General features: G+C 45.3%; 1 protein-coding gene across 23 annotated transcripts in view, besides 1 other annotated feature; it reads right to left on the reverse strand.

The window, feature by feature from the left end:
• SLC35D4 (solute carrier family 35 member D4) overlaps positions 1–19,791 on the reverse strand; it is a 199,440-nt gene that overhangs the window by 112,288 nt on the left and 67,361 nt on the right. For 15 of the 23 annotated variants that reach the window (NR_148382.2, XR_001753290.3, NR_148384.2 and 12 more), the window contains 5 exons: positions 19,407–19,452; positions 17,906–17,941; positions 14,825–14,859; positions 5,785–5,854; positions 1,387–1,480 (listed from right to left, as the gene is read on the reverse strand). Coding sequence is in view for 14 of the 23 variants with exons in the window: in XM_047437894.1 (XP_047293850.1) it covers positions 1,387–1,480; positions 5,785–5,854; positions 14,825–14,859; positions 17,906–17,941; positions 19,407–19,452 (281 nt within the window). In the remaining 9 variants the exon portion in view is untranslated. Of the gene's footprint in view, positions 1–1,083; positions 1,186–1,386; positions 1,481–5,784; positions 5,855–14,824; positions 14,860–17,905; positions 17,942–19,406; positions 19,453–19,791 lie in introns of all 23 variants that reach the window. The other 8 variants (NR_134876.2, XM_047437899.1, XM_047437898.1 and 5 more) reach the window with 5 other exon arrangements.
• Positions 7,943–8,062: an enhancer, noted in NCBI's record as "active region_13153". NCBI's record gives its function as "activates an Ori minimal core promoter by ATAC-STARR-seq in GM12878 lymphoblastoid cells {active_cell/tissue: GM12878}" and the evidence as "EXISTENCE:reporter gene assay evidence [ECO:0000049][PMID:35858748]".

A 19,791-nucleotide genomic window follows, 5' to 3' on the forward strand; every position in this document is an offset into this window, starting at 1 on the left:
CTGGTTGAACTATCACACTGGGGAGGAGGGAATGGGAGTGATGATAGGCAAGAACACCACAGATTCGTTCTGTTCCTACCCAAAGGTTAATAGTTTTCATGAACAAATGCGTCTCAATTTATTGCATATATTTGGTCAATTTTTAGGGAGCTGAAATGGATGTTTTTGACAGTTTTCTTCCAGCTTTCTAGCTGTTTTTTGGGAAGAGGTTTCATCAACCTCCTCACTCTGTCATGCCAGAAATCAATATCTCAGCTACTTTTTACATTCTGCTAGAATTGGAATTATTAATGCTATTAAAAAATAGGCCATGTGGACCGAGCACAGTGGCTCACACCTGTAATCCTAGCACTTTGGGAGGCTGAGGTGGGTGGATCATTTGAGGTCAGGAGTTTGAGAACAGCCTGGCCAACATGGTCAAACTCCATCTTTACTAAAAATACAAAAATTAGCTGGGTGTGGTGGCGCACACCTGTAATCCCAGCTACTTGGGAGGCTGAGTCAGGAGGGTCGCTTGAGCCTGGGAGGCAGAGGTTGCAATGAGTTGAGATCATGCCACTGCACTCCAGTCTGGGCAACAGAGTAAGACCCTGTCTCAAAACAAAACAAAACAAAAACAAAAACAAAAACAAAAAAATGCATGGGGGTGAAAATATCATTAAAAATCTTATTTTCAAAGCAAAATGTTTGAGGTTTTTTTTCTGGAGAAACTTCAACCCATAAAACACAAAGATGACTAAAAGCCCAAGTTAAATAATGATTTCATTAAATTAAATTTAATTAATTAAGGAGGCTTACTCCTTGAAAGCAGCATCTAGAGCTCTACAACTTGCCTCCCTCACAGGCACTAAGGAAATGAAACGTGCCAACAGAAGTTGGCCCCACCATGTTTCAGTTAAGATTGGCCATCCCACAGCCACTTCCCCGCTCCTTCTGTTTCTTTGTGGTTCCCCCACCACTTTATCTTATGCTTCCCCCATAGTCATTCGGATACACAGAGGTTGTTCTTAGAATAATCCCTTTTCTAAGGTTTCATAGAAATGCCCCAACCTGGCCATTTGTCTATCTTCCTTTCTCTATCACCTTGGATCGACTGAGTCCCCTTGTGTAAGTCACTTGAGCTCTGGACACCTGCACAGCCTCCAGGAAGGAAATAAGGAGCCTATCCATGATTGTCTTCCAGGACTGTAAGAAAGATGAAATATGCCATGTTGATAAAATGAGCAGGCCTCAGAAATCGTTACCTGAATGAAGGAAGGATCAGGCTCAGGGACAGCGCCTAGAAGTGGTCTCATGAAGCTCAAACAACTTCACATTACCCAGGTTCTGAGATCTTTGGATACACAGGCTCTTGAGAGAGAATTTCCCACCCCTCTTGTCTCTTACCTTAGCAAAGAAAATCCAGGCTGCACACTGCCCTGGGGCCAGAAGGTTTTTTAGCTTCACTGTACTGAACATGAGAAAGAATCCCAAAAATCCACTGGAAGGAGAAAAGATTCTCTTGTTAGTGAGGCTTGTCTTCCCTTAGCCAATGGCTGACTAGTGTCTGCTACATTTTACCAATCAATTTCAAATTATTATGCAACCTCTACCTCATCTGTGTTTTCTAGATCTGTGATCTCTGGATGAAAATAAAAAAAATTTTAAAGTCATTAAGCTCTGCTTTTCTAAGGAGCTATGGTGGGAGAATTTTGATTAGAGGAATGGTGCAAAGAAATTTCAGAGGCCTCTGGCTAAATCATGAAAGAAAAAAAAGGTGGAGGACAACACCTCTTGTTCCTTCCCATAGAACTTCTGGAGTTTTGGTGCTTGGCAAGGCAGAGCTTAAATTTTTTTCAAGCAAGATAAACTGGCAGGAAAAGACTTCCAAAGGGAAACTCACCATGTGAGAAGAGAGAGTCTGGACTGGCCTCCAGGCTCAAAAGAATCTGAAGGGGAAGGCTGGCTTCAGTGACACATATGGCTGAGGCCAGAAGTCCCCCAAACCAGGCTGTCCTGCCATAGGAGGTATGCTTTGGAAATGGTGCCTACACATGTGTGTGAATGGAAAGATCCCCACTCGAGAACCTGAGGAAGGGGCAGCATCTTGGGGCTATTCAGGAGTGTGGACCAACAAGGGCGAGGGCACAGCAGTGGATGGAGATGTAGTTGCCTGTGCTGCAACTATTTCCAAAAGTGCCCTGTGTGGCCAAGGCCAAAGCAAAGGGAGCTCCAAATGCTTCCTGACATTTGAAGGCAGGACAACTGGGGAAGAGGTGAGACAGACAGTGTGTGTGTGTGTGTGTGTGTGTGTGTGTGTGTGTGTGTGTGTGTATGTGAGAGAGAGAGAGAAAGGCTGACTTCATGCAAATATGTGCAAGTGGTGGTTTGAGTGTGACTGTTATTTGAACTTGAAAATTGCAAAGTAAGAGATATGACTGCAGTTGTAACTCCAAGCTAGAGAGGCAAGCCCTGTGAGTTGTACTTCATTTGCATCTCCAGACCCTTGACTGCCACACTTCCATCTGACCTTATACAGGCACTGGTGCGCAGCTCCAATACTGATCATAAACTCTGAGCAGGAAAAGCCCAATCTTGGGCTGCTCTTCGTATTTTCAACGGAGCCTAATATGGTGCCTCAGTTACGGTACACATTAACTAAATGCTTGTCAGGTTGAATTGGAAGCAGACTGAATTAATTGAACACACCTAAGGCCAAATGTCACAGAAATGTGTACCTTCACTTCATTAGATTAGACTAGTTCACAGCCACATTCTTGGGGCAGGACTAAAGACAGGCATTAGGTTTCCCCATGTGTATTTCAGCCTGTTTGGCCCTAATGACCTGCAAAGTTTGTTCCAATTTGCATCAGCAGTCATGGGAGGCTGAACAGCTATGGATTAAGATGTCAAGTTACTCACACCCAAAAGGCAAAGAGGGCCCGTGGGTAAGCAGCAGGCCTACCCAATCACACCCAGCGCCTGGATTTCTATTCCTCACTGTGCTTACTGACCCTCGTAACCTTAACCAAATCCCCCTTCCCACCTTTTTGTCTCAGGTTCAGTTGCCTTAAAGTAGAAATAATCATAGCAGTCCTCATCCTATCTTAATGGAAACCAGAGGCTTTTAGAACAGTAAGATTACCTATCCCCAAAGTCTCACTTTATTAACAATGAAACTGGGGCACAGGTACAATTAGAATCCAGGTCTCCATGGCTCTTCAGATCTCTGGACCAGCAAGGGCGCTGGCACAGCAGTGGACAGATGTAGTTGCCTGCGCTGGAACTATTTTCAAAAGTGCCACTGTGTGGCCAGAGCCATAGCAAAGGGAGCTCCAAACTCTTCCTGGCATTTGGAGGCAGGACAACTGAGGAAGACGTGAAGCTTCATGGAAATGTGTTCTTGACCAGCTAGACAAAGAGTGAGATATGGCCAGGTGCGGTGGCTCAAGCCTGTAATCTCAGCATTTTGGGAGGCCGAGGCGGGCGGATCACGAGGTCAGGAGATCAAGACCATCCTGGCTAACACGGTGAAACCCCGTCTCTACTAAAAATACAAAAAAAAAAAAAAAAAAAAAGAAAATTAGCCTGATGTGGTGGCGGGCACCTGTAGTCCCAGCTACTCGGGAGGCTGAGGCAGGAGAATGGGTGAACCCGGCAGGCAGAGCTTGCAGTGAGCCGAGATCGCACCACTGCACTCTAACCTGGGCGACAGAGCGAGATTCCGTCTCAAAAAAAAAAAAAAAAAGATGTGCCAGGCACTGGTGGTCATGAGGGTGGGGCTGAAAAGGGAGGCAGCAGTGCTCCAGGCTCCTCTTGGTGGCTCCCACCTCTGCACCCAAGGAAGTAACAACTTCACAGGTGCCTGCCCAACCTCCCAGACTTCCTTTCCCTCGAGTCTTTCCCTCTCCTCTATGCCTCTAGCCACAGGGGTGGCATGATTCCATGTTGACCTGTCCTCTCAGTGCAGACTCTGGGCCAGGATAAGCTCGTGCAGGTTTGTGACTGACAGGCTTCTGGAAGCATCTGGGGCCCTTTTGCATCGCTTAACTTCTATGTCTGTGACTCATTTTTACATTACTCATGGATCTCTTATCTTTCTCCTTGCACTTTCAGCCCATCTACCCCTTGCTAGGGAGGCAGATCTGAAAAGCAGAGGGAGGCTCCCAGAAATAAAGGAATCTGGGAATAGGAGACTCCCTGTTAATGGGGTCTTTGGGCTATGGCTACCGTGCCCCTCCTGAGCCCCCCCAGAACCTCCTGAAGGTGACAATGCTCAGTCTGAGATATGGTGGAGCCTCTGAAATGAAACAGGGAAAACCAATGCATTCCTCAAAGAGGCTGAGCTCTGTACAGAAGCATGGGTAAAATGTAACAGAGTCACATCAATTCAAACAGAGATTTCCAGATCTTTAGAATAAAACAAAACCCTGATTTATCATGTTGCATTATGAGAAAGTTGCAGATTAAAAGGGGCAAAAATAGAGCCCAATTGTCACCCCACAAAGCCAACATCAATGGGCTGTGAACTGTGCTGCTCTGTTCCAAATAACCAAACAATGGTTGACCTCCCCTCTACACCCTGCTTGCCCATGCTGCCAAATAACCAGACTCAAAGGGAAACAAGTCCGCAGCCGCCCGCCCAGCACGAAGACTCATGCCATGTGATCCCAGCTAACGGGCAAGGCCTAACCAATTGACAGGAACTACGAAAGTGAATTGTGTCAGTGTTTTCCTGAAACTTTTCTGAGGGTGAGAAATAAATCATTCCAAGGCTCAAATGCAGAAACAAACTCTGTAATTCTTTTTTTTTTTTTTTTGGCCCAAACACACCAGAGGAGCAGGACATACCCACTAGCCACATAGCAGCTTTTTAACATTGTAAAGAATCACTGCTTCACAAGGCACTGTTTGATATCTGTGAGAACAGGTGGCCTGATTTTTACATAGCAATTCTTCACGATCTATTGACATTGTATTTATAGTCAACCTGAGTAGATCATCATAATGACCACCATTTATTGGGCCAGGCACAAAGCTTAAGACCCAAAGATCATACAATTAGCAACAGCAATTCTGGGGTTCAACCTGGGTCAGTCTTTCTATCATATCGGGATACCACACATGCTTTGGACCTATCTACATAAGTCTTTCCACTTCTTGGCATGATGAGGTCAAGCAGAGTGGTGATCGTGGCAGGACATGGGGAGAGGGTGAGGATACACTTCTGTGTGTTCAGATGTAGCCCTCCAACTGGCCTATATCCCTGAGTCCTTCCCAAGACCAAGCACTAATGATCACCTGGTTGTCTAGACATCTCCTAGCCATCAGTTTCCAAAATCTATTTCCCAGAGTCCTCAGGTTTGGTGGAGGTTATTTTGGAGGTTGCCTTAAGGAGCAAGAAGGAGGCCAAGGGGAAAGCTGAGCGGGTGGGATTCTGAACCCAAATCTTCCCTTGAACTGGATCCATTTCATCAGTTTTATATATTGGAGTTCTATGTGAGATTTGCTTGTGGAGGAGGAAAAAAGTGGGAGAATCCTAGCTCTAGAGCAAGCGCGAAAATCACTGTCTTGGCGGAGGGACTTCCATGGGCCAGGGGTCCTGGCAGGGCCCAAGCTGGCCCTGAGCATCTAAGGGTGCTAAGTGACAGCCTGCTGGTGACATAATGACTGCTTCCTTGCCTGCATCCACCACCACTCTCTCCTGCCACTCACTCAGGTCACTAGCAGTGACCCTGAACTTCACAGAGAGGAAGACACAGCGGACAGCACAGAAAGCATACAAATGAGTGAGCTTACGATTACCTGGCACAGCAGCTACCATGGAATCTGTAGAAGTACAGGAATGGGAAGTCCAGGACGCTGAAGAGATCACCTGAGGGGAACAGCAATGGTGAAACAGTGACCCATGAGGCCTCACATGACCCTCTGCCCCATTGCCCCAGGAAATGCAAGGAAGGCGTCTTTAGCAGTCCTGTGCTTTCAGTCCCCTGGCATTGAATTCACTCCAGCATTCCCAGGGATTCTGTTACTGACATTGTCTTATCATGGTAATAACAGTATGATAATAATAATGCCCATTTAGTGAGAGCATGCCTTGTGCAGGGCCCAATACTAAAATCTTTATGTATTTATCTCTTTCAATCTTAGTAACAACTCTGTGAGGTTCTATTGTGCCCATTTAAACTAAGGCTCAGAGAAGTTAAGAAACATGGCTAAGATTGCACAACTCTTAAACAATGGAGCCAGAATGTTAACTCCAGTCAATCCAAACCTTAGGCTGTCTCCTCTCTACCAGGCAGCCAACCCTGCACAAGGGAGCATGCAGGATAAAAGAATCTTTTTCAAGACTCTTTTCTTCTTTTCTGCCTTATATCTAAAAAAAGGTCATGAATGTACTGCCCTGACATTTTTTTTTTCATTTTTATGTTTAATGACTGCAAGAACAGCACGGGGGCCAGACCAACTGTGCAAATTCATTTTAGTTTGAGGTCCAAAGGGTACATTTGTTTCTTGTGAAGTAAGTTCATTCTTTTAGTTCCACTTGGTGCAAGAGGAAATAATCACACATATTGGCTGCTTCCCTCTCTGGAATTTGAACTTGGTCACAAACAAGAAGTCAGGAGATTAAAAAAGCAGAAAGCCTTCCAAAAATGTCCGGAGAAAAGGAATTAAGCATTTCCACAGCAGATAGCTTGTCTTCCAAATCTGGAATTTCTGAACCCCTTGGAGAGCCTGGTCTTCCAGACCCCTGGGCCTTGGCCTGTCTCTCAGTTCTGGGGGCCTGGGGGAGAGGGCTGATTTTCCTAAGTATTGCTAGTATATTAAGTGTACAGTGGAACACACAGGCAGCATTTCCTTCACCACTACGCTATTAATCAAGGGTTTCAGATCAAAAGACATGATGGGCTCCTATGCTTTCTTGGAGACCCAAACGATCTCAAATGATTCAACTATCTATTGGTAAGGAAAGTTCTGAGTTCAATTTCTTTGGAGGGCTTTTTAAAATTATGACTGTTATTTTCTTTGTGTTGTTTCTGCGAGTGAGTGTGTGTTTAACTACAAGGAAGGGATTTCTTGGGATCTGGTTTTCATGAAGCCCAACAAGATTTCTTGTTCTCTTTCAGCCACGATTCCTCTGAATAGCTCTACTGTCAAACCGTGTTGGTAGAGGGAATTTGTAAATGACAACATCAGTTGTCATTTAGTGTGCGAAGAGCGTGGATATATTCTGAAGTCCCTTTCCCCATAGAAGTGATAGGCAAGGGTGCCCTGGGGACCCCAGACCTAGAGAGTGGCCAGAGCCCTCCATTCAGGCAAAGTGGAGGGAGAGTCTGTCCACGTCCATGGAGAATTCGTTCCGTCTCTTTGGCAGCTGTGTGCTCTTGGCCCTTTCCCAGTTTCCTTCTCAGTGTGAGAGGAACTGCAGCGCAGCCAATGTGATAATGAGGAACGGCGGAGAGGGAGACGAATGAAACTTAGGACCTTGAGTCCTCTCAGGCTTCACCCCTCTCAGCACCCAGTCTTTCATCAGAAATGCTCCAGCAGGGTGAACGGGACTCATGGCGCGTGGCAGCTTTTACAGCCCAGCCCAGGCTTTGGAGGGGGTCTAAAGAGCAGAAGTGTGGTCAGAGGAAGACTAGGAGGGAGGAAAAGAAAGAAAGAAAAAAAAACACAGTCCTCGGGAAATCATAACCCCCACCCAAATCCTGAAAACTGACCCCATAATGAGAGAGAGAAAATAAGAATAGCTAGCCCTTACCTTTGAGCCATTTCTAAAACCATCACACATTGGTTTCTCACACACCACTTAGCTGACTTCACACCTGTCCCTCCTCCTCCTAGAATTAGCGAGTCCTTGAGAGTGGGGATGCTATTTTCCTCACCCCTGCACCCACTGTGTGTCAGCACCATAACCAATATACCCAGCACACAGCAAGCACTACCAAACCAAGAGTATTGGAAAGACCTGATCATCTCTTGCCTTCCCTAGAGCTAATGTTCTAGTTTCCAGCTGGCTCTGTGGTCCTCAATTTCAAGCTGACCTCAAATATTCCCCTTCGATGCCTTCCACCTGGCTTCTCTTTTGCTAAAGTAGTACTCCTAAGCAGAGAGGGTGCACGGCAACCCAGGAACAGCAAATGTTAGTGACTGTGCTATAAATACCCCCGGAAGAGGTTGCAGCGTGTGGCTGGCTGGCCCCAGCCACATGCAAACTCGATCCAGGAGTCTGCTGCAAAACAACACTCCTGCACCATCTAGTGCTGAACTACACGGCTTAAGCACAAATCAAGTGGCTAAAGAGTTTGTAAACAAGGCTGGGCGCGGTGGCTGACGCCTGTAATCCCAGCACTTTGGGAGGCTGAGGTGGGTGAATCACGAGGTCAGGAGTTCAAGACCAGCCTGGCTAAGATGGTGAAACCCCATCTCTACTAAAAATACAAAAATTAGCTGGGCGTGGTGGCGGGTGCCTGTAATCCCAGCTACTCAGGAGGCTGAGGCAGAGAATTGCTTGAATCTGGGAGGCAGAGGTTGCAGTAAGCCGAGATTGTCCCACTGCACTCCAGCCTGGGCGACAGAGTGAGACTCCATCTCAAAAAAAAAAAAAAAAAGAGTTGTAAACATGTTTTGCTACAGCAACACGCGGCTTATGCAATGGAGTCCGAGTTAGGCCCTCACTGTTGTGTTCTGCAGTTACAATTCTGCTGACTCTGAGTGAGCGAGTGAATCCCATCTTTCTAAAGATTACAAAGCATGAAATTGCCATGGTGAAAAGTGTGACACAATATTACCACATTCGAGACTAACTGATATTTGAACGTGAAGAAAATTTCCTCTCATGTTCTCGCCCTCAAAACTGGCAGGAAAACAGGAGGTCGGTTCCAAGCAGTAATTAGTGCTGCTTGCTCTGTCTCACACATGAGCCACAGACACACCAGGTAACAAGGTTGTTTCTGGGTCAGATTCCTGAGTCTCCCTGCTCCTCTTGTTCCGTGAAATTCTCTAGAGCTCTCTTGAACACCACAGCTAAGGGGCCCCATACAAATAGGAAGTATAAACTCTTTAACAGGGGAAATTTCCTCTACTATACTTAAAAGAGTGCAAGGGGGAAAGGTGATCCTCTTCTCAAGGAAGGTTCTGAGATTCTCGGAGCAAACTCTGTGGTGGGGCCCATGCTGAGGGCATGAAGAACTGTCTGCCTGAGTCCCACCACCGCTGCCAGCGCACTCCAAAGGTGCACCTGCAAGAGAGCTCCTCCTTCCAATCACTCAGGAGTGAGTGAGGAGGGAAGCTCAGTCAAAAGCACTATCCAGAAGCCCTCACACACCCTCTAGAAGAGTTAAAATAGGACTGACAATGTTAAATGCTGGTAAGGATGTGGAGCAACTGGAACTCTCACATACTGCTGGGTGGGAGTGGAAAATGGTACAAACACTTTGGAAAACATCCTTTCTTAGAAAGTGAAACATACATCTACTCTAAGACCCAGTAATCCTATTCTGAAATGTTCATCCAAGAGACGTGAAAACATAAGTCACAAAAAGGCTGGTATGAGAATGTTCAGAGCAGCCTCAAGCTGGGAACAGCCCAGGTGAGCATCAACAGGTAAATGGATAAACAAACGTGGTATATGCATACAATGGAACCCTACCAGCAACAAAAAGGAACAAACTCATGATATACGCAACAACATGAATGAATCTCTAAACATTGTGCTTCATGAGCCAGACACAAAAAGTACTGATGATTCCATTTATAACAGCTTGAGAATAGACAGAACTTATCTATGGTAACAGATATCAGATCCATAGAGGTCTCATGGTGTGGAGAGGGAGTGACTAGGAAGCTTTCTGCAGTGACAGAAATGTTTTATATCTTGATGGGGTATAAGTTACGCAGGTGTGTAGATTTGCCAAAATTGATCGAGCTATACATTTAACATGTATATTTCATATATGTAAATTACATATCAATTTAAAAATGTTTTTAAAGTACTACCAAATAACTAAGATACAGGTAATAAAAGAAGGGGCTGGGTGCAGCAGCTCACGCCTGTAATCCTAGCACTTTGGGAGGCCAAGGCGGGTGGATCACTTGAGGTCAAGAGTTCAAGACCAGCCTGACCAACATGGTGGAACCCCGTCTCTACTAAAAATACAAAAATTAGCTGGGCGTGGTGGCGGGCACTTGTAATCCTAGCTACTTGGGAGGCTGACACAGGAGAATCACTTGAACCCAGGAGGCAGAGGTTGCAGTGAGCAGAGATTGTGCCACTGTACTACAGCCTGGGCAAGAGAGTTCGAGACTTTGTCTCAAAAAAAAAAAAAAAAAAAAAAGAAAAAGAAAAATAGAAAAAAAGAAGGGGTAAGAAGAAACCAAAAAGAATTGAGCCCTGCTGTAAAATGTCAGAAAGTATGAACAGATTCTTCCAAGACTATCCCTATGGAGACTGACTGTGACTGTGTCTTAACTGGAGCAGCAGGGAACCAGGAAGACAGCTCATCCAACACACACTCAGGCCCCACTGCAGACGTTCTAGATAGCAAGTGTAATAAGCAAGTGAAAAAGAATAAAGTTCTGTTCTACCTTGAAGTGGGCTAGACTTGGTCCAATCAGAAAGCTAATGAATGAATCGGCAGGAATTGGAGCCACCCTGTAAGAGTAGTCCTGCTCCCTTACAGCAAGGGAGCCCACAGCCACTTCAGCAGTGCCACGGCCCAGCAAAACCCTTCTTATAAGCCCGACTTTCTGTACCTGGCCTCTGCAATGACCCCACCTCAGCTAGCAGGAAACTTCAACAAATCGAAGTTGCAGAGAAGAGTCCTTCAAGAGCAGTGTCCCAGGACTCTCTCTGATGAATCCAACAGGCTCCACAATGCCCTGGGTTGCCCACTGCAGACCCATCCCCCATCCTGCAGGAGACGGAAGGGAAGGTGAACATTTGTGTCCACTCTTTTTCAAAAATTATGAAAATATAACTTGAAGGAAAATTAATCCATGCAAGTATCCCTTCCGGCATAATTAAGCTCCAAACAGGTTTTCAAATGAGAAAGATGTCCTTTTATTCCCCCAATACATTTTCTTATTGAGATATAATTTGCATACTATAAAATTCACCCTTTTAAAGTGTACACTTCAGTGGTTTTTAGTATATTCATAGAGTTGTGCAACCATCACCACTATCTAATTCCAGAATATTTTCATTACCTCAAAAAGAAACTGAAGCCTATTTCAAATTACTCCTCTGCCCAGGACATTCTACAATCATATACTTCTGACCACTTTGTATTCCCAGGGAGTAATTAAGTGTCCAAGGTATTTTTGTATTGACCTAAAAGTTTAGCAATAACTCAAGGTAAAATGTCAGACTGTTGGCCAAAATGTCTAAACTATTACCAGCAGTCACCATGTTCAGAAACTGGTGGCTAAACACATCCCCCAAACCAAAAGCAGCTCCAGACCAAAATTTAGGAACGTTGTACAAAAGCATTCACTGGAGTGGGATACTTCATAGTAAAGTGTAGGGGGACTGGGCGTGGTGGCTCATGCCTGTAATCCCAGCACTTTGGGAGGCTGAGGCAGGCAGATCACTTGAGGTCAGGCATTCGAGACCAGCCTGGCCAGTATCGTGAAACCCTGTCACTACTAAAAATACAAAAATTAGCCAGGCATGGTGGCAGGTGCCTGTAATCTCAGCTACTTGGGAGGCTGAGGCAGGAGAATCACTTGAACCTGGGAGGCGGAGGTTGCAGTGAGCCAAGATTGCACCACTGCACTCCAGCCTGGGCAACAGAGCGAGACTCTGTCTCAAACAAACAAACAAACAAAAAACAAAAAACAAACAAAGAAAGGCAATAAAGTGTAGGATCACTGAAAGAGCAGCAGCATTTAAAAAGAAAAAGTTAGAAAGAGGGTCAGGAGACCTAACCCCAGTCTCCCTCTGCTAGTCGCCTACTCTGCATCATCTTGGTCACATCACTTAACTCCTCAGGGTTTCAATTTCCTCATTTGTATTAGGATGATGCATAAGTAATTAATACAATTTGGTGGCACCTGGGATAATCACCAAGATTCCTTCCAGCTCTGACCATCATAAGTTTAACAAATGAACAAGCACAACCTCTTAGCTGAAGGGCAGCATGATTTCTTTAGGTAAAAATTATTCACCCAGCCGGGCACAGTGGCTCACGCCTATAATCCCTGCACTTTGGGAGGATGAGGTGGGCAGAACACTTGAGGTCAGGAAGGAGTTCCTGACCAGACTGGCCAATGTGGTGAAACTCCGTCTCTACTAAAAATACAAAAATTAGCTGGGCATGGTGGCAGGTGCCTATAATCCCAGCTACTCAGGAGGCTGAGGCAGGAGAATTGCTTGAACCCGGGAGGCAGAGGTTGCAGTGAGCCGAGATACACCACTGCACTCCAGCCTGGCCAGCCTGGGCAACAGAGCAAGACTCTGTCTCAAAAAAAAAAAAAAAAAAGAATTATTCACCCAAGTCCACTAGAAATAATTCAGGATGTAAACCACGGAGAATCTGTGAACATAACTTTCCAAAGGCCTTTGACAAAAGCACATTTTTTTTTTTTTTTTTTTTTTTTTTTTTTGAGATGGAGTCTCGCTCTTGCCCAGGCTGGAGTGCAGTGAGGCGATCTCAGCTCACTGCAAGCTCCGCCTCCCGGGTTCACGCCATTCTCCTGCGTCAGCCTCCCGAGTAGCTGGGACTACAGGCGCCCGCCACCACGCCCGGCTAATTTTTTGTATTTTTAGTAGAGACGGGGTTTCACCGTGTTAGCCAGGATGGTCTCGATCTCCTGACCTCGTGATCCACCCGCCTCAGCCTCCCAAAGTGCTGGGATTACAGGCGTGAGTCACCACGCCCGGCTGACAAAAGCACATTTCAAAGGGGCAGGACACTTAGTAGGCTCTTAAATGTCTGCTGGGTGGCAGCTACCTGGCTGCATAAAGGAATGATAGGAGACGCAACTAAAAGGCAGACAACCAGCAGTATGGGTAAGCAGAAGCCATTTAGGGTTACCAGTATGGCTTCACAGGACTTATTATTCCACAAAGGATAGACTTTCAGCAAATGACAGCAGAGAGGGGACTCAACAGCCAACCTTGGAGTTTTGAGAAGTCATCGTTCATAGGAGCAGGCAGACAATAGGAACTGTGCTTTCATATGGCAAGCGGAGTGTAATAAGAAAATGCATTCAAGTTATCCTTACGAGACATGGATTCAGATATGTCATATACAATCCAGAAGCATTATTCCTGAGTCACTAGCAACAACTCCCTGAGGATCCTCACTCAGATGGCAGGTAAAATACCAACTGAAAGAAGCAGCTGAAAACGCCAACAGAAAGCTGTTACTGCTTTAAGCACAGGGTAAGAGCTAGAAGGGACCTTAGAAAGCAGCCAATTCACCTTTCTCATTTTCTAGATGCGAAAACTGAGACCTAGAGGGCTTAGGTAATGCTTTATGCATAGCAAGTGGTGAGTAAACATTCATTTTGTGGTTTGTTTGTTTTTAAAAAAAAACAAAAACAAAAATCTATCTTAAGGCCACTCAGTGGGGGAGCCAAGGAAAGTTCCAATCCTTCTGAGTCTATTCTTTGCACCACACTCCACGAAGCCACAAGGAGCACAACCAATATAACTTGTATTTTCAGCCATGCCACACACAGACATTATTGTTTTATCTTTTGGCATCAATTTCAAAGCCTTTCAAAGCAAAAAACTGTGATGGAATAGGGTCTTGTGGGCAATTCCTTAATCTGAAAAGCAACAACAGAGTAATTGAGGCAGTAAGATACATTTTAAAAATTGACTCCTGGCCGGGCGCAGTGGCTCACGCCTGTAATCCCAGCACTTTGGGAGGCCAAGGTGGGTGGATCATGAGGTCAGGAGATCGAGACCATCCTGGCTAACATGGTGAAACCCCATCTCTACTAAAAGTACAAAAAATTAGCCAGGCATGGTCTCATACGCCATAGTCCCAGCCACTCGGGAGGCTGAGGCAGGAGAATGGCTTGAACCTGGGAGGCAGAGGTTGCAGTGAGCTGAGATCATGCCACTGCACTCCAGCCTGGGCAACAGAGTGAGACTCTGTCTCAAAAAAAAAAAAAAAAAAAAAAAAAAAAAAAGGACTCCTTTCTTCTGGAATTATGAGAATTGGATGGTGACATATGATACAAACTTTAAAAATGATGCCAGATAGAAAGAGGGTAACTTAACAATATATTTGCAAAATTCAAACAAGAATTAGAGAACCAACTCCTTCACTTAATTATTTCTTATATTTACCTGCTAGTATTTTATTTGAGGTTACCCTTTGGGATGATTCTGATGATGGGATTTGGGGTACCATAGCAGGCCTTGGGAAACATTATGGGATGGCAAGAGGCCCCTCATATTCTGCCATAAGAGCAATAACTTCTGCTCCTGAAGTTATCACCAAAAAGGGATTCAGGGAGTTTTTTGAACTTTTGAACTTTTTCACCAATTTTTTTAACACTAGAAATGAAGAGCAATTCAGGACGCTTGGAAAAGGAATTTCAGAAGCGGGCAAAATAAGCCCTAGTTTACTTGGCAGGAAATAGACCTGTCTGTATATCTGAGATCATACTGGATGAAAACACAGACAACAAGAAGGGGTAAGAATAAATTCCTGGATGATAAATTGGTTTATTAAGAGCAGTTTCAAATAGGTGGGACCTTCCTGCCCTCTCAGTCATCCTGGGGGGCAATGACATGCTCTTATGAAATGTCTCTGAGAGACAGGCTCACTGGGTCCAATAAGCAATGTCAAACAGACAAACAAAACAACACTCCGGGGGCATTTACCTGTGGGATGAGATGCAAATGCCAGGAGCACCACACTGGAAAAGAGACAGCAAAGTAGTCAAGAAGTTTCCCCGGCACCAAAAACCCCAGCTGTTCCCACACATTTTACTTGGAAATAGTTAAATATGCCTAAAAGCAAATTATCTGCACTGACTCACTCTGCCTAAATCCAGCTCCTCAGAGAGAGTAAGAATGTCTTGAAATGTCTCATGTTTTGGCAAGAAGATTGCCTCTTGGGACAGGCTTGGGACAGAGTATGAATCCATGTCTCAACCTGAGGGTCTACTGTGTCTCTTTTCTCAATCCTGGCTGACCCTAGTTATGATCATACTCACCTAATCTACCAAGAGTATTTATAAGCTAAACAAAGCAAACACCAAATTAAAATAGCTTGCAATGTAAAAGCTAGCTGTTGTGTGTGAGCTACGTATATTTTTGCCACAAAATCAACTGTGTAGAAGATAGTTACATTTCCAAGAGGCTAGCCCACAATTGATCCAGCCCATCTACCATGTGGCTGAAAACTAACTTTACTGATTTTCAATAGATGCCACAGAGGGGAAAGGATGAAAAGAGAATGAAAAGGAGTGTTCCTCTGATGTGAGCCCTGTTCATCCTTGGCAATCTCCCATCGTCCTCTCTGAAAACCCCTCCCGTCCCGCAGTGCCCCTCTACAGTGCCTTCATGCTGCCAAACCCCACTTGAGGGGCCCAATCCCCCACCCTCTGCAACCTCTTCTATCAAAACTCATGCCATCTGGGCAGCCAATCAAATTAGAGAATTAGGAATAAAACATGTTATCTAAGTATGGCAGGGAATTTTTTAAAGTGCTGGATGGCCTACTCTGGTTCTAAACCCTGGCTGCATATCAGAATAGCCCAGTGTCCTGGCTTAAATTGGAATCTCTGAGGTGCAGGCAATCAGTTGTTTTATTTTGTTATGGCCCCTCAGTGGCTCTAAAGTACACCAGGATTGGGAACCACCACAAGGAATCCCTAGTTGGTGGTGACACCCTAGGCAGTGTGGAGGAAGACGGCTGTGAGCAAAAAAACCACTGGGAGCCTGCCTGCTCCAGGAGCTGTCTCCCGGAGCCATTTCTGTGTTTCTCATGTTCTTCCTTTGCTCTTCCTCTAAAGCTAAGGTTCTCTGATGGCCCCAGGGCAGCAGCAGTGTGGACAGAGGCTAGACAGGAGGTTTGCGAGAAAGCCAATGGGAAGAGCCACACATCCAGTCATTGAGAAGTTGTAGGTTTATAAGACAGGGCTGCATGTAGCTATAAACAAGACTGAAGACTTCACAATGATCAGCCCTTTGCATAGGCTAAGTCTTTGCTTCCATCTCACCTTTCTTTGGAAAACATATACCCTGTATATACTCCATTATTTTACCTCCCTGAATCCCTTTTTGGTTATAACTTCAGGAGGAGAAGTGATCACTCTCATGGCAGGATATGAGGGGTCTCTTGCCATCCCAAAACATCTCCCAGAGCCTGTCATGTATCCCAAATCCCATCATCAGAATCGCCCCAAAGGGTAACCTCAAATAAAATATTAGGGGATGAATATAAGAAATAATTAAGTGAAGAGTTGGTCCTTTAATCCTTGTTTGAATTTTGCAAATACAGTATTAAGCCACTCCTAACTCCTACCAAAGCAGGCCATTCAGCGCACTTGAAAAAAAATTCCCTCCGATACTTAGATAGCAAGTTTTATTCCTAACCAACGCAATCAGCCACCTGGATGGCATGAGTTTTGATAGAAGAGGTTGCAGAGGGTGGGGGACTGGGGCCCCCACAGTGGGCTTTAGCAGCATGAAGGTACTGCAGAGGGGTGCTGGGGGACGGGAGGGGTTTCCAGAGAGGGCGATGGGAGGGTGCCAAAGATGAATGGGGCTCACACCAAAGGAACACTCTCTCTTCATTCTCTTTTCACCTTTTCCCCTCTGTGGCATCCTACACTGTGACCTCCTTGGGGGCAAGAACCATATTTTATTCATCCTTGGATCCCTAGCAGTGCCAAACATCATGTGGCAGGTACTCAATACGTTTTCTGAACTGCAATTAATCACCTCTAGGTGTACTGTGGTGGGACTATGTTTGAAGAAAAACGTAACTTGAAGCCCTGGATACTTTTTTTTTTTTTTGAGAAAGATCTCCCCCTGTTGCCCAGGCTGGAGTGCAGTGATTCAGTCATAACTCACTGTAACCTTGAGCTCTGGGGCTCAAGTGATCCTCCTGCCTCAGCCTCCCAATACAGAAACCCCTTATAGTTATAAGATTATAAATTACATGTAAATTATAATGAAGAAATTCTACTAATATAAAAAGGGTGTATCATGCTGTTCTAGTAAGCAGGCTTATTCTCTGCTTGGCTTGGGACAAGGATACAAACAGAAGTCCACATACCATATTTAAAAGTTATAAATCAAGCCTCAGACTTCATCCTACCTTAACAAATACACCTTCAGAATAACCTGAAAGTCTAGTTTAAAATGTAGAATTCTTGGGCTCCCTGGTGCTGCATGTCAGAATGTAGCAGCCCAGGGCAGCCTCTGACTCCCGGTTGCCAATGCTCCCCTTTTCTTTCCACCCCAGGCTTCATCCTGCAGCCCAAGGGCCTCACACATGTGTGTGGACACCTGAGTCTGCAAGGTCCTCTCCACCTACACTCCTGCCCATTGACAGCCTCTCTTTGGACACCCCTTGGGCCTGGGAATGAGTTGGGAAGATGGACCCAAGGAGCCCTGGAATCGAGCTCAGGGACATGGGTGGGGGATTCAAGGACACAATCTAGAAGTGAGGGTGTGGCCTCTGGGATGAGAGAAACGTCCTTTAGCCTCACAGATGCCACGTCCCGGAGAAGGGATGTGGCCCTCTGAAGTTTAGGGCCTGAGAGAGGCCCCTCTTGCCTGGTCTAAGGGCAAGACTGCTATTTGGTCTCCTCAACTCTGTCATCTCACAAATTCTGTAACTTATCTTCCTGGCAGGCACATTGGCTCAGAACTCTTCAATCAAAATATTATTGGAAAATAAAAATCCATTAGGATATGAATTGTTCTTTAAAAATGTAAATTATATTTTACCTGAATATATAGTTTAAGTATTGCTGGTCAATGTCACTAAGGAATGAGAGAGGAAAAAAAGATAAATGAAGTAGCAGAACTATTTTAAATACATAAAATAATCATTGTCTTCTACTAATAAATTCTATTTTAGTTACTACTTTTATAAATTATCCATAAATAGAGGGAAAAGTATTTAATATTCAAAACCAGTTACTAGTTCATTTTAAATCACACACATTTTCACCTGTGGGCAACTGTTTCCCACATGTACATTTGTCACTTTCAAAGGAGTGTCAACTATCTCAGGCCACTGGACTGGCTTTTGGGGCTACCATATTTAACAAATAAAAATACAGGGCAATCAAACACATTTGAATTTCTGATAAAGAGTAATGTTTTAGTGTAAGTACTGTATGTTCCAAATATTACAAAAATTATTCGAGGCTTATCTGAAATTCAAATGCAACCAGGCATCCTGTATTTTATCTGGCAACTCTACTGGCTTCTTGCTACAAAAACACTTTATTAAAAGAACAAAAGGTGCTCCAGGGAGTGGAAGCCCCACATTCTCAGAGTGGATGACCTTCTCTCAGGAGTCATTCCCTTCAGACCTTTTCTCTTTAGGCCTTCAGCAGGCCCCAAAACCTGGAGGCCAGCTGGCCAGTCTAGGGGCACTGGCCTCAGCGCTCCAGGCCTGAAGTCTTGTCTTTTCTCATTTACATTCACCAAAGCTGCTCCATTGACTGGCTGCAACAAAGGCCTCATTTTGCCCAAGAATGAGCTAGTAAGTGGAGACTTCTGGGTCTAAAGTAAGTCAAATTAGGACGGGGCTGGGGAAACAAGAAAAAGTACTGTCCCTCTGTGCTTGATGCAGCCGATTGGCACCCAAAGCAGCTGGCCACATACATTTCATTCACATGTCATCTGAGAGGTGACATGTGAATCCCCTGAAGGAAGGAGATTGAGACTTCCATGCCTCTTCACACATGGCTAAAGGCAGACATGTTCCAGGTGTTGGTGGACACAGCCTGGAGTGGCCCAAACAGCAAGAAGAGGGCCGGCTTCAAGGACTAAGTCCCCTGCCCTCAACACAACCCAGGCCTGTAGAGTCTCTGGCTGAATGGAAGAATCTCATGATACCACAAGTCTCAGCCCTTTCCTTTAACCCAACCACAGCTCACCAAACATTAAGAGTTTATCCTGGCCGGGTGTGGTGGCTCACGCCTGTAATCCCAGCACTTTGGGAGGCCGAGGCGGGCGGATCACCTGAGGTCGGTAGTTCCAGACCAGCCTGACTAACATGGAGAAACCCCTCTCTACTAAAAATACAAAATTAGCCAAGCATGGTGGCGCATGCCTGTAATCCCAGCTACTCGGGAGGCTGAGGCAGGCGAATCGCTTGAACCCGGGGGGTGGAGGGTGCGGTGAGCTGAGACCGCGCCATTGCACTCCAGATCACGCCATTGCACTCCAACAAGAGCTAAACTCCATCTCAAGGAAAAAAAAAAAAAGAGTTTACCTTAATGCACTGGGTTTCTGGGACTTCTGTAGAATTTTATAAGCCCCTGAAAATGAAATAAAACATATCACTGGTCATGGTATTCTGCTCAAGGAGCTGCTGGCCTGTCCGGGGACACACAAAATCCACATGGATAAAGGCTCCCAAAAGCACGACTGCTGGTCCTTTTCCCTACGAGTGTCACACCCAGCTGACAGGAGAAGACCATCAACATTTGGAAGGCTTCAAGGATACAAATTCAATAATCCTCTATGATAACGCAGTCAGTCCTTCCATTGGTCCCCAGAGTGCTGGGCATGGAAAGCATCATGATTATGAAGGACACAATTAACAGGAAGGTTTTACTTCCTTGACATGACGCACATGAAAAGAGAAACACCCCTGG

The sequence above is a fragment of the Homo sapiens genome, chromosome 18 (genome assembly GCF_000001405.40).
Source record: "Homo sapiens chromosome 18, GRCh38.p14 Primary Assembly".
Classification (NCBI taxonomy): domain Eukaryota; kingdom Metazoa; phylum Chordata; class Mammalia; order Primates; family Hominidae; genus Homo; species Homo sapiens.